This window comes from Homo sapiens, chromosome 6 (genome assembly GCF_000001405.40).
Source record: "Homo sapiens chromosome 6, GRCh38.p14 Primary Assembly".
Classification (NCBI taxonomy): domain Eukaryota; kingdom Metazoa; phylum Chordata; class Mammalia; order Primates; family Hominidae; genus Homo; species Homo sapiens.
The window spans coordinates 44,441,213-44,454,698 of NC_000006.12; the positions used below are offsets into that span (position 1 = coordinate 44,441,213).

The 13,486-nt window shown below is 37.4% G+C and overlaps 1 protein-coding gene across 2 annotated transcripts in view; it reads left to right on the forward strand.

The window, feature by feature from the left end:
* CDC5L (cell division cycle 5 like) overlaps window positions 1–9,213 on the forward strand; it is a 62,720-nt gene extending 53,507 nt beyond the window's left edge. For both annotated transcript variants that reach the window (NM_001253.4, XM_047419605.1), the window contains 2 exons: window positions 4,443–4,655; window positions 5,395–9,213. In NM_001253.4, the coding sequence (NP_001244.1) occupies window positions 4,443–4,655; window positions 5,395–5,499 (318 nt within the window). In that variant the 3' untranslated portion in view covers window positions 5,500–9,213. The remainder of the gene's footprint in view (window positions 1–4,442; window positions 4,656–5,394) is intronic.

Here is a 13,486-nt window from a genome sequence, read left to right on the forward strand (position 1 = left end):
GATTCCATATACAAGTTAACATCATATGATATTTGGCTTTCTGTGCCTGGCTTATCATAGTTAGCAGAATGTCCTCTGTGTCCATCTGTTGTTGCAAATAACAGGATTTCCTGTTTTTTAAAGACTGAATAGTATTCCGTTTTATGTGTATACCATATTTTAAAAATCCGTGTCTTGGCTGTTGTGGATAATGCTGTAAAGAACGTGGAAGTGCAGACATCTCTTTGACATACTGATTTCAATTCCTTTGGATATGTATAGCCAGAAGTGGAATGGCTGGATTGAATGATAATTCTGTTTTCAGTTTTTTGAGGAACCTCCATACTGTTTTCCATAATGGCTGTACTAATTTACAATACCACCAACAGTGAACAGGGGTTCTCTTTTCTCCACATCCCTTGCCAACACATACTGTTTTTCATTTTTTTAAATAACCAGTCTAACAGGTGTAAGGTAATACCTTATTGTGGTTTTGATTTGCATTTCTCTGATGATTAGAGATGTTAAGCATTTTTTTCATGTACCTGTTGACCACTTGTATGTCGTCTTTTGAGAAATGTCTATTCAGGTCCTTTCCCCATTTTAAAAATAGGGTTACTTGTTTTTTATTGAGTAGTTTGAATTTTTTTGTTTGTTTGTATATTTTGGATATTAACCCCTTATCCAGGCCGGGAGTGGTGGCTCACACCTGTAATCCCAGCACTTTGTAAGGTCTTGTTCTTTTTTTTTTTTTTTTTTTTTTTGAGACAGAGCCTCCTTCTGTCGCCAGGCTGGAGTGCAGTGGTGCGATCTGTGCTCACTGCAACCTCTACCTCCTGGGTTCAAGCTATTCTGCTGCCTCAGCCTCCCGAGTAGCTGGGACTACAGGCGCCCGCTACCATGCCCGGCTAATTTTTATATTTTTAGTAGAGACGGGATTTCACTGTGTTGGCCAGAATGGTATTGATCTCTTGATCTCATGATAGACCCACCTCAGCCTCCCAAAGTGCTGGGATTACAGGCATGAGCCGCCATGCCTGGCCTACTCTATGCCTTTTGATTGGGGAATGTAATCCATTTACAGAGTAATTATTGATAGGTGAGGACTTAACCAGTGCCAATTGTTTTCTGTTTATAGATCCTTTGTTCTATTCCTCCTCTCTTGCTTGTGTGTGTGTGTATGTTGTGTGTGTGTGTGTGTGTGTGTGTGTGTGTGTGTCTTAATGGCTTTCTGTAGTGGTATGCTTTGGATTTTATCTTTTTATCTCTTGTCTGTCTGTTACAGACTTTTGCTTTGTGGTTAACTTGAGGCTTACATAAAACAGCTTATATAACGGTATTTTAAGTTGATAACAACTTAATTTTAATTGCATACACAAACTATACACTTTTACACCCCTTTCTCCCATATTTTGTATTTCTGATGTTATACTTAAAATTTTTATATAATATTTATTCCCTTAACAAATTGTTGCACTTCAGTTGTTAATAGTTTTGCCTTTTAACCTTTATACTAGAGATATAATTGATTTACTCACTGCCATTAGAGTATTAGAATGTTTGGATATGACAATGTATATACCATGCCCTGGCCTGGATAAGGGGTTAATATCCAAAATATACAAAAAAAGTTTTATACTTTAATAAATTTTCATGTTATTAATTAGTGTTCTCTTCCTTCAGCTTGAAGAACTCCTTTTAGCATTTCCTGTAATGCAGGTCTAGTGGTGATAAAGTTAGCTATTGATTGAAAAAGTCTTTATCATCCATTTGGTTTTGAAATACAGGGTTGCTGGGTATAGTATTCTTGGTTGGCAGTTTTTTTTTCTCTCTCTTTCTTCTCTTTCTTTTTCTTTCTTCTCTCTCCTCTCCTGCCCTGTCCTGTCCCTGTCTCTCTTTCTTTTCTTTTCCTTCCTTCCTTCTTTTCTTTTCTTTTCCTTCCTTCCTTTTCTTTTCTTTTCTTTTTTTTCTATTTTTAAATATATCATCCCACTCCCTTCTGGCCTGAAAGGTTTCTGCTGAGAAGCTATCTGATAGTCTTATGGAGGTTCCTTTATACATGGTGATATGCTTTTTTCTTGCAGTTTTCAATACTCTGCCATTAGTTTTTGACATTTTAATTGTGATGTGTCTTGGTGGGTCTCTTTGAATTTATCTTATTTGGTGTCTTTTGGGCTTCCTGGATCTAGCTTTCCATTTCCTTCCCCAGCCTTGGGAATTTTTCTGCCATTATTTATTTGAATATGTTAGTTGTTCTTTTCTCCTTCTGGCACCTGATAATGCATAAGTTGTTCTCCATGATGGTGTCCCATAAGTCTCTTAAGTCACTCTTTTTCATTATTTTTTCTTTTTGCTCCTGAGATTAGATGGTTTCCAGTGACCTGTCTTGTAGTTTACTGATCCTTTCATCTGCTTGATCTAGTCTGCTGTCAAACCCCTATATTGAATTTTTCAGTTCAGTTTTGGTATTTTTCAGATCTATGTTTTCTCATTGATACTTTTTAATATTTTCTGTCTCTTTGTGGAAGTTCTTAGTTTGTTCTTGCATTGCTCTCTTGACCTCGGTGAGCATCTTTGTGACCATTATTTGGAATTTCCTGTTGGGTAAATCATATATCTCCAGTTCACTTGAGTTGGTTTCTGTTGATTTATTTTGTTGCTTTTTTTTTTTTGGAATATATTTTCCTATTTCTTAATTGTTCTTGACTCTCTCTGTGTTGGTTTCTGTGCATTACGTGAGACAACTGCCTCTCTCAGTCTTCTTAGCCTTGTGTAGCAGAAGGATCTCACCAATCCATCCAGCTAGAGATTTTAAGATACCTTTTAAATCTTTGTATTTGTTCAGACTGTTGTCTCTATTCTTGGTGCCATATTCCATTAGTACCCTGTGATCAGTAAGGCAGAAGCCAGATGCATAGATGTAGCTGGGAAGGTTGAGGTGTTGGGTATGTGTCCTAGTTCCTTCTGTCATCATGTTGAAGTCAAGTGCTTGATTCTTCCACTCTTTCTACACTAAGCCATCTCTGTGGCAAATGCCTATGCTTGTGTTGTGGCTGCACTCTACGATCCTGGGGAGATATCTGCTGGAAGTGGGCTTGTAGTATGTCCACCTCTGTTTTCTGTGGTTTAGGGAGATTCAGGAATGCAAAGCCCTGTCACTTCCAGAGCTTAGGTTGTGAAGGGTACAGTCCCTTGTCTGTGTGGAGCTATAAAAGTGTGGCACTCAGTCTGTGGACAAACTCCTTTTAGGAAGAATGAGTAGGCCTGGAATTATCAGTGGGATGTGCTGGGGGAAAGGCTCAGGATATGCCAAGTTCCTGCTCAGGCTGCCTGAGGGGTACTGTTTGTCTCCCCCATTAGCTCTCTGATGCAAGTTAGAGGCCAGGCTGTCAAGTAGCGACTGGAAGAGTATGCAGTTATAAACCCTTTTTGGAGAGAAAATGAGAGCTGCATGTTCCAGACTCTTTTCTTCACTGCTCCCAGGGAGTGTAGCCCTAGAAAGTATTTGCACACCTGTTTAAAACCACCTCCTTGTTTTTTTGATCTAGAGAGACATGCATATGCCTAGTCTCTTCCATTACCACATCTAGGAGATTTAGGATATAGTCCTTTGGGTGGATGCTGTGCAAATTGAGGCATTTGATGTGTGGACAGACTCCTTCTAGGAGGAATTGGTAGGCCTAAAGTTACTGCTGGGGCAGGCCAGGGGGAAAGGCTTGGAAAGTGTCCAGCTGCTGCTTAGGCTGCCAGAAGGCTACTTTTGCACTGTCCCATTAACTCCCCCATGCAAGTTAAAAGCCAGGCTGTCGAGTAGCCACTGGTAGACTGTGCCATGAGCCCCTTCCAGGGAGAAATGTGGAGCTTCACATTCTTAGCTGCTTCTCTGCACTGCCCCCAAAGGGTGCAGTCCCTGAAAGTACTTGCATGCTTGATTAAAAGTATCTCTCTTGTTCTAGGGATTTAGTGATCTAGGAAGACTTGCACTAGATCCCTCAGCTCCCAGAGCCAGGAGATTTAGGATGCAGGCACTTGGATGGAAATTATAAAAGTTGGGGTCTTGATGTGTGAACAGACTCCCAGAAATAAATTTTTGGGATATAGATGATGAAGGTGGCTTGCAGCTAGTCCCAAAATAAATACGTTGAATGATAGCAGAAGTCATTTTCAGAAAGTAGACATTAGTTTTTCCCATACTGTGACATTCAAGCCCTCTTTGAAGTTCAATCGTGGGTCAAATTATTATAAATAGATTATAGATTATTTAGGACTCACCTATAAAACCCTTTAGGTGCAAGATAAATCCTTCTTAAGCTTGATATTTTGTTACAGTAATTGAGCTATAAGGAGTTCTAGTGTATTTTTGCTTTGAGACACATACATGAACGCATGGTACCTTTTTAGCCCTGTTATTTAATAGCCTGCTTTTCTCATGTATGCTGATGTGATCTTCCCCTGCTCTCCAGATAAACAGGGGTCACATGACGACAGAAGCCAAGAGGGCTGCAAAGATGGAAAAGAAGATGAAAATTTTGCTTGGGGGTTACCAGTCTCGTGCTATGGGGCTCATGAAACAGTTGAATGACTTATGGGACCAAATTGAACAGGCTCACTTGGAGTTACGCACTTTTGAAGAACTCAAGAAACATGAAGATTCTGCTATTCCCCGGAGGCTAGAGGTAACGTTATATATTGAACTGTTGTTTAAAAAGAGTGCTGCAAAGAATTATCAGGGCTGTCCTCTTTTACTTCTCCTATGTAGACTGTCTCTGAAGTTGGTACTGTCAGGCTTTTAAAAATGAGAGCCTAAAGTGTTTGACTTTCTAATCTAGAATTGCCTCTGTGTAGATGGATAGACCAGGCAAGTTGTAGATACAAAGGCCTTCCCTTACTCATTTTCTGTTTCCAATATGTAGATACACTGTGAAATGGAATACTTAGCCCTTGTGATTTGTCCCCTTGAAACTTAATTGCATCCCATTCATGTAGCTCAGTGAGGGGAAACTAAACCAGTATCTTTTTGTTTTATACCTTATGTTGCTGGGAACATAGCTAGTCCTTCCAAACCATCAAATTCCTATGACCAGGTTTGGATTGAATTTATCTCCCAAATGTGCATAATAGCTCCTGTCCAGCTAAAGGGCAGTCAGGGCTTCTTGAAGTGCATTTGTGGGTATTGATAAGACAGTAGTGGTTTGTTTATTTGAAGTAGCAGCAGGATTTCATATGACCAAATCAAAGAATGGCTGTGATACTGGTTTTATAGCAAAAGTATTTGATATGTTTGTTTCTCTTTGAGAAATATTTAACTCTTAAGAATCATGATTTAACTCAGCTGGTTTTTAAGATAATAAAGTACTGTAGATTTTTTTCAGTATAGTTACATCTAAAATAATTACTTAATTTTTTTTCTTTAAGTGTCTAAAAGAAGACGTTCAGCGACAACAAGAAAGAGAAAAGGAACTTCAACATAGATATGCTGATTTGCTGCTGGAGAAAGAGACTTTAAAGTCAAAATTCTGAAGTACAGTTTATATTCTGTCACAGGATTAATTAATTGCCGGTTTTCATACTCTAGAAGGCTGAAACTGATGTTTATCTTCATTGACAAATTTACCCACCATCTGTGGTTTTTCAGTTGTTTATTTTAAATGATATCGATCTTACACATTCTGTGTATAAAGACCTTAACTCCACAGGACGGACATTTTAGAGTTTAAATTATTAAGGCTATCATTCTTTTAGTAATGTCATATTTGCAAACTTTTTTAGTTTTGGCCTTTAATTTAAAAAGCCTAATTTTAAAGTGCTGCCTGTGAGTAACTCTTGAATAAAAACAAAATATAAAAAATTGAGAATGTAGCCTTTTGTTTGAAGTAATTAGATACTTAAGAGTGCCTGCAAACCAGCAGCTATGTACTCTGTGTCATATTTAATGAGTAACTCTTGGGTAATCAAAATGGTGATGCAGTATCTTAAACACTTAAGAGGCAGTTCTTTGTGGCTTTGTTAGTTTCAGCAAAGAGTGGTCATTTCTGTATACACTGACAAGTTAGATTAACTTTTTAGTACCTCAAATTTTTTTTTTGTTAATATCACTTTAAAGAAGGTCTCTTGTCTGCCAGCTACTTAAATAATTTATGGGTCAGGGCTTAAAAGATTTAACTTCCTTGCCCCATTATTTTCTTATAAGTATTTTTTGACAAAGGCATTTTAAAAGTTAATTTCAAGAAGGCCATCAAACTTAAAGCTCTATGTTTAGCCTAAGAAGTCAGTTACATCAGTGTAGAATTTGGGGAATGGATAGAGGTGGAGATATTTAATTTTATATAATTCATATAAATTGATTTAGTTACAGTATCAGTTGGCTACAAGCTCATTATAGACTAGCAATGTTTTGACATCACCAAAAACGTTTGCCCAGTCTTAGAATACTAGGGACTATAGGAAGGGAAGGGATTCATTCATTCATTCGATATTGAATGTATACCCTGTGCCAGAGTCTTAGAGAGAGAACAACAAACAAAATAGGCCTAGTTCTTGTTTAGTAGAGCTTATAGTCTTTTGAGAATGACAGACAATTAAAATCCAAATGTTTATTTGGTGATTCTTATGTGTCAGACACTTAAGTGTTGGGAGATAAGCAGTTATTAAGACAGAGTTCTTGCTCTCATGGAGGTGACATTAGTGGGGAGGAGATACTAAGTATGTCCAGGGAAAGTATCAGACCATGAGTTTTAGATTCTGTGGAGGAAATTAAAGTAGGGTGATTATGAGATAGTGAATGAGTGGCTATTTTAGACTGGACGATCAAAGAGACCTCTTGGAAGGCAGCTATGCTCACCACTATACCACTGCACTGTGCCGCACCGTACCACTATAAGCTGCACGGCCAAAGAGACCTCTTAAAGAAGTAACATTTAAGATAACATGTGATTGACATTTTAGAATGGGCTATCCTTGTGAGATTCAAGGAAAGAACATCCTAGGTGGAGTGAATAGCAAACATAAAGCCTCTTTTGTATGTTTGAGGAACAAAAAGGACAATGCAGCTAGAGTGTCAAGAATGGCATTTCTGTATATAAGACCTCGTTGTATAGAGCCACATAAATAAGGCTATAATAAGGAATTTGGATCTTACTTTAAATATGATAAGAATCGATGAGAAGATCTAAGCAAAGGAATGACATGATCAGATTTGGTTTTAGAAACATCACTATCTCCTTAGTGTGTAAAATCTCACCAGGCTGGAGATAGGGAAGCCAGTCCAATTAGGAGCCTGATGCAGTGATCCAGACAAAAAAATAATAGTGATTCTAACTAGAGTCCAGGTAATAGTAGTGGAGATATGTGGAGAGACATGATAGGTATATACTTAATAGTCTTATCAGACGATAAATTGATATTTTCCTGGTGTGTAGTCACTTAATTCAAATACTTTTTTCAGTAAGTTCTGGGTTTTCTAGGAAAAACTTCAGTATCATCAGTGAATAATGATAGTGTTTCTTCTGATAGTTTTATTTCACTTTTATTGCATGTTTTGTTATCTGAAATGTTTAGGACAATGTTAACAATAATGATGTTAGACATTTTTTTTTCTTATTTTAATGGGAATGTCCATAGTTTTAAGTTTGCTGTTGGGAGTTAGATAGTCTTTATCTGAAAGACAGTGTCTCTCTTTTAGTTTTTAAAGAGTTTGAATTAGAAATGGCTCTGGAACTTTAAACAGTATACCATTTGGGCATCTATTAAAGCATTCATATAATTGTTCTCATTTGATGTTTTGATGAGGTATATTAATAGATTTTCCCACATTAAATCATCTTTGCACTCCTGGAATCAGGTAGATTAATTTTTAAAAGAAATTTTAAAGGATTTATAGTTTATTTGCACTTTTTGTAGACTTGAATTATATGGATTTAAAAGTTGATCTAATATTAATAAAGGCTCACTTTGTTTTCAAAATTTGAAGTAATTCACATACTTATAGCCTAAAAAAATCGGCAGGAATTACAAAATTTCAAAACTGGCACATTGTAAACTGCATATGCATTTGCCAGGTAGTGGTGCCACTTGAAATGGTGAACAGACACACTGTTATCCTTTGTCAGTATCCTGTAAAGCCCAGGATTCTTTACCAGCACCATACAGCGATTTTGGTGACTATTTTAACATTCACACTGAGGCCAGGGGTGGTGAGTCATGCCTGTAATCCTAGCACTTTGGGAGGCCAAGGTGGGAGGATCATTTGAGCTCAGGAGTTCAAGATTAGCCTGGGTAACATAGTGAGACCCTGTCTCTATTAAAAAATAATAATAAAAATAACATTCACATTGGTATTGTTCACTAAGGTATTGGTTGTTAAGGCATTCATTAAGGTATTGTTAAAACTTGTGTTAAGCATGTTAAAGTCTCAGTAACTTTGGGATAGAAATAAAATGTGATAAAAAGCTGAAAGAAACCACCACAAGGGAGAGTCCTTTTTGAAATATTAGAGACATAATGCTGTCTAATAAAAAACGACATCAAAGAAAAACTACACTACAGTGACTGCAGACTTAATGTTGGCCAACCATGCATCCTCCCTAGAAATGCATTTGAATTTGATTTACTAATCTTTTATTTAGGAAATTTACATTTTTACATTAGTGAGATTGGTCTTTTGGGCTATTGTACTTTTTTTTTTTTTTTTTTGAGATGGAGTCTTGCTCTCTCACCCAGGCTGGAGTGCAGTAGTGCAATCTTGGCCCACTGCAACCTCTGCCTCCTGGGCTCGAGTGATTCTCTGCCTCAGCCTTCCAAGTAGCTGGGACTACAGGCATGTGCCACCGCACCTGGCTAATTTTTGTGTTTTTAGTAGAGATGGGGTTTTGCTATGTTGGCCAGGCTGGTCTTGAATTCCTGACCTCAGGTGATCCACCTACCTCGGCCTCCCAAAGTGCTAGAATTACAGGTGTGAGCCACCATGCCCAGCCTGGTTATTGTATTTTGATATTGGGATTTTGCTAGCTCTCTAAAGTAAATAGGATAACTGTATATCTTTTTCTGTGCATTAAGCAGTTATAACATGGGAATGATTTGTTCATGAAAGGTTGAAAGTCTGTACTTACAGAACTTTTGAGTTCACAGTGCTTTCTGGAAATAATTTCTTTATAACTGTCAGTTTCTTTTGTGACTATTATGTTACCTATTTTTAAATTTAAGCAACTTTAAATTAAAAAAATTGTTTTTAAAATATATTCTTCCTTTTATGTTTATTTAGTAAATTTAGGTAATGTATACTTTTTAAGAAATATTTTTATTTTGTTCAAATTTAAACATCTGTTGTTAGCAGAAAATTCTAATAGCAATTTCTTTTCTATTAACTTTGCCATTTCTAAGTTATAGGAAATTTACCTTCTCTTAATTCTACCACTTTTTACTTGACTAGACTTGTTAAGGGTATACATTTTCTGTTCAGAAAACTAGTGTTTTTATTGGCTTATCTATTGTGATTTTGTTTTAAAATATGTTAATTTCTCAATTTAGGCTTATTATTTTGTTTTCTGTAGTTTTTTGACTTTTTGAGACTGATGCTTATTTTTTGCTTGTATACAAATGAATGTGTTGAAGACTTTTGAACTGTCCTTTGAGTTCAAATATGTTCACATCCCAGCCATTTTGATATGTAGTAGTCTTGTTTTCTAAGTAGTATATCATTGTGTTTTAAATTTCTGGTTCAATAATTAAGTTTTTCAAAATATCTGTATGGTTGGCTTAAATTTTTTTTTTTTTTTTTTTTGCTAGTTGTGGGATTTTTACCTTGTGGGAAAAAAATGTGGTTTATGTAGTTTCTGTTTATTGAGGTTTGGGGGCCTAGCATCTTTAAAAAGTGTTCTATGGATGTTATAAATGAAGATTTATTTAGTTTATATAGGACAGAGGTGAATGTGTATTCATTCAACCAATTTATTCAAATTTAATGTTCTTATTGTTGTTATAGATACCCTAGAATAGTGTTTTCTTAAAGTCTCTGATTATAGTTGTTTCTCTCAATTTCATTTGTTTCTCTAGAGCTTTTGCTTTGTATATTTTGATAGTGTTATTTAGTATAGAATACTTGTGTCTGTTACATACAATTCATAAGGAAGACTTCATGGCCTAAAGCTATCCTTTTTGTTTTGTTTATGCCTTTTGCCTGGAATTTTACTTTCTTTATTAGAATTTCTCTTCTTTCTTTGCTTATATTTGCATGATAAATTGTCTATCCTTTTATTTTCAACTTTCATATATAATTTTTAGTTGTCTCTTAAACAGCATATCTTGTTGAATTTTGTATTTCAAACCATTTGGAGAGTCTTTGGCTTTTAATAGGGTCTGTTTTGTTTTTCATGCTAATTAATGACTTTAGTCTTCTGTAATCATGTCTTACACTTTCTCACTGATGTCTGTAAATGGACTGTAATTTCTTGGTTTTAATTTTCTTAGTGATTTAGAAAATATACATCGTCTTTTAAATCTTACAAATAATTATGGTATCATTCAGGGTTTAGGATCTGTTCAGGAGAAAGAAAGCAAACCAGTAATTTGAACAAGGAAGACTCAATATGAAGATTACTGACCAGTAGTAGGGAGTTAACTACTAAGAGGGACAAAGACATCTCTAAATAATACAGGAATGGCAGATGTAGGGAGCAGCTGCTACCTGCAGACAGAGTAACCGAAGAAAGACTTGGAAGAGCCCTTTCCCGCCTCCTCAAAGGCTGAGATTCACATCTCACTGAAGAGAGTGTGGGTGGAGAAGTTTGCTGAGGTGCCAGGGTGCCAGGGAACCTCACTAGGAAGTCACTTGCTGAGGGTGCTCTTGATACTTGGAGGAAACCTGCCTCCTGGGGCGTTAGCAGAACTCCAGAGCGCCCACACCACTGGGTCTCCCATGCCTCCCCGGCAGAGGTGCCACTGGTGGCAAGGAAGCCACATGCTGACAGTGACACAGTAGGAGCAAGAAGGAAAAGCGCCAGAACCAGAAGTGAAGCCGCTTCCACTTGTTGTGTCCCTCAGTGGCTGTGCTGTTGGATCCACTGGCAAAACGGAAACGTTTCTAGGTTACAACTCCTGTATCATAAAGCAGGGTGGATTTGGAGCTGGCACAATAACCGTTGTTTTTCAAAATCACACTCAAGCCTGTAGTTTTCTGGACTTCTGAGTAAAGAATGAAGCAGTGGTTTGAGCCAATTTTAATTCCTTTAGCAGCTCCTTTATACTGTGGTCAGGGGACGGCTTATATATGTCTCTGGGGGATCTCCAGGGTATGCATCCTATTCATCATTATTTAAGGCTGTTTATTTCATCTGGTTGTCCCTGGTGGCCAATCTCTTGGTTTGGGTCCAAGTTTTTCACCTCTGCCTGGCCTCTTGGGCTTGGATTATTTGTTGAAAGTGTTTCCTTGGTTCCTCATCTTTCCTGCAGTCCTACATTATTTCTTTGGGTCTCCTCTGCACATTTGCTGCCAGAGATAAGGCCAAGGAGGGGAGTTCAGGCAATATTACAGTAGGTCCCCCCTTGAGGTTTCACTTTCTGAGATTTATAATCTGTAGTCAGCATGGCCCCAAAATATTAACTCAAAAATTCCAGAAAGAAAGAAGTAATTCGTGCTTTTAAAATTACACACAGTTCTGAGTAGTGTGATGAAATCTCTCATGGTCTCACTCCATCCTGCCCAGGAGGCGAATCATCCCATTGTCCAGTGTATCCGGGTTGTGTATACTACTGGCTCATTAGCCAGCTCTGCTATCAGATCAGAAAGTACAGTTACTCATCACTTGATGGGGAGGATACCTTTTGAGGAATGTGTTGGTAGGTGACTCTGTTGTTGTGGGAGCATCTTAGAGTGTACTTAACACAAACCCAGATGATGCAGCCTGCCACACACCTAGGCCACAAATCTGTACAGCACGTTACTGTACTGAATACCGTAGGCAAGTGTAACAGTCAACTATTTGTATACCTAACATAGGTATACATACATAAATATACCTATGTTAGGTATACAAATATATATATATATAAAGAAAATATACAGTAAAAATATGGCATAAAAGATTAAATGGTGCACCTGTATAGGGCACTTAGCATGAGTGGAGCTTGCAGGACTGGAAGTTGCCCTGGGTGAGTCAGTGAATGAGTGGTGAGTGAATGTGAAGGCTAGGACATTACACTACTGTAGACTTACAAACACTGCACACTTAGGCTACACTAAATTTGAAAAGTAAAGTAATTGTGTTACACTTTATGACAGCTATGACATCACTAGGTGATACAAATTTTTCAACTCTGCTGTAACTTCATGGGGACGTTGTCATACATGTCTATTCACTAAAACATTGAAGAGAGGTTAGTAATCTCAATGGTTAATAGACTAACATTTTAAAGATAGGCTTAAATATTTCAAAAGCTTTGTCCTGTCTCAAGATTTTTTTCTTTGAAAAAAGACAATAACTTAGTAATATATGTGTATTAAAATTACCAGTTATAAGAGACTTGTTAATGTACCATGTAGAGCTGTGCTGTCCCGTATGGGAGCCACTAGCCACACGTGGTTGCTGACTGCCTGAAACGTGGCTGTTGTAAAATTTGAGGTATGCTATTAAGTGTAAAATACTGGGTTTTGAAGACAATATGAAAGTAAATGTAATATAGCTCAATTTTTTTATATTGCTTACATGTTGAAATGACAGTATGGTTGACCCTTGAACAACATGGGTTTGAACTGCAGTTTAATTATACAAGGATTTTCTTTTTCCTCTGCCATCCCTAATACAGCAAGACCAGTCCCTTCCCTTCCACCTCCTCCTCGGCCCACTCAATGTGAAGATGATGCAGATGAAGACCTTCATGATGATCCACTTCCACTTAATGAATTCTAGATATATTTTGTCTCCCTTAACGATTTTTAAAATAACATATTCTGGCTGGTGTGGTGGCCCATGCCGGTAATCCAAGTGTTTTGGGAGCCTGTAGTGGGAAAATCACTTGAGGTCAGGAGTTTGAGACCAGCCTGGGGGTGAGGTGGAACTAGAAGGTGTGGAGAAAGTGAATCCTTGTATGCTGTTGGTGGGAGTGTAGATTAGTGCAGCCATTATGGAAAACAGTACAGAGGTTCCTAAAAAAGTAAAAGGTAAACCTACCATATGACTCAGCAATCCCTCTTCTGGGTATACACTCACAGGAAATGCAATCACTGCTTCATAAAGATATCTGGTCTCTCATGTTCATTGCAGCATTATCCACAATAGGAAACACAGAAGCACAACTAACTGCCCATCGACAGATTCATGTGGAAACACGCACGCGCACACACACGATGTAATATTCTGCCTTAAAAAAGGAGATCCTGCCATGTGCTGTAACATGGATGAACTTGGAGGACATTATGCTAAGTGAAATAAGGCAGACACAGAAAAATATGGCACCATCTCACATGAAATCTAAAAACAAAAAGTCTAACACATAGAGATGAAAATGGTGGTTA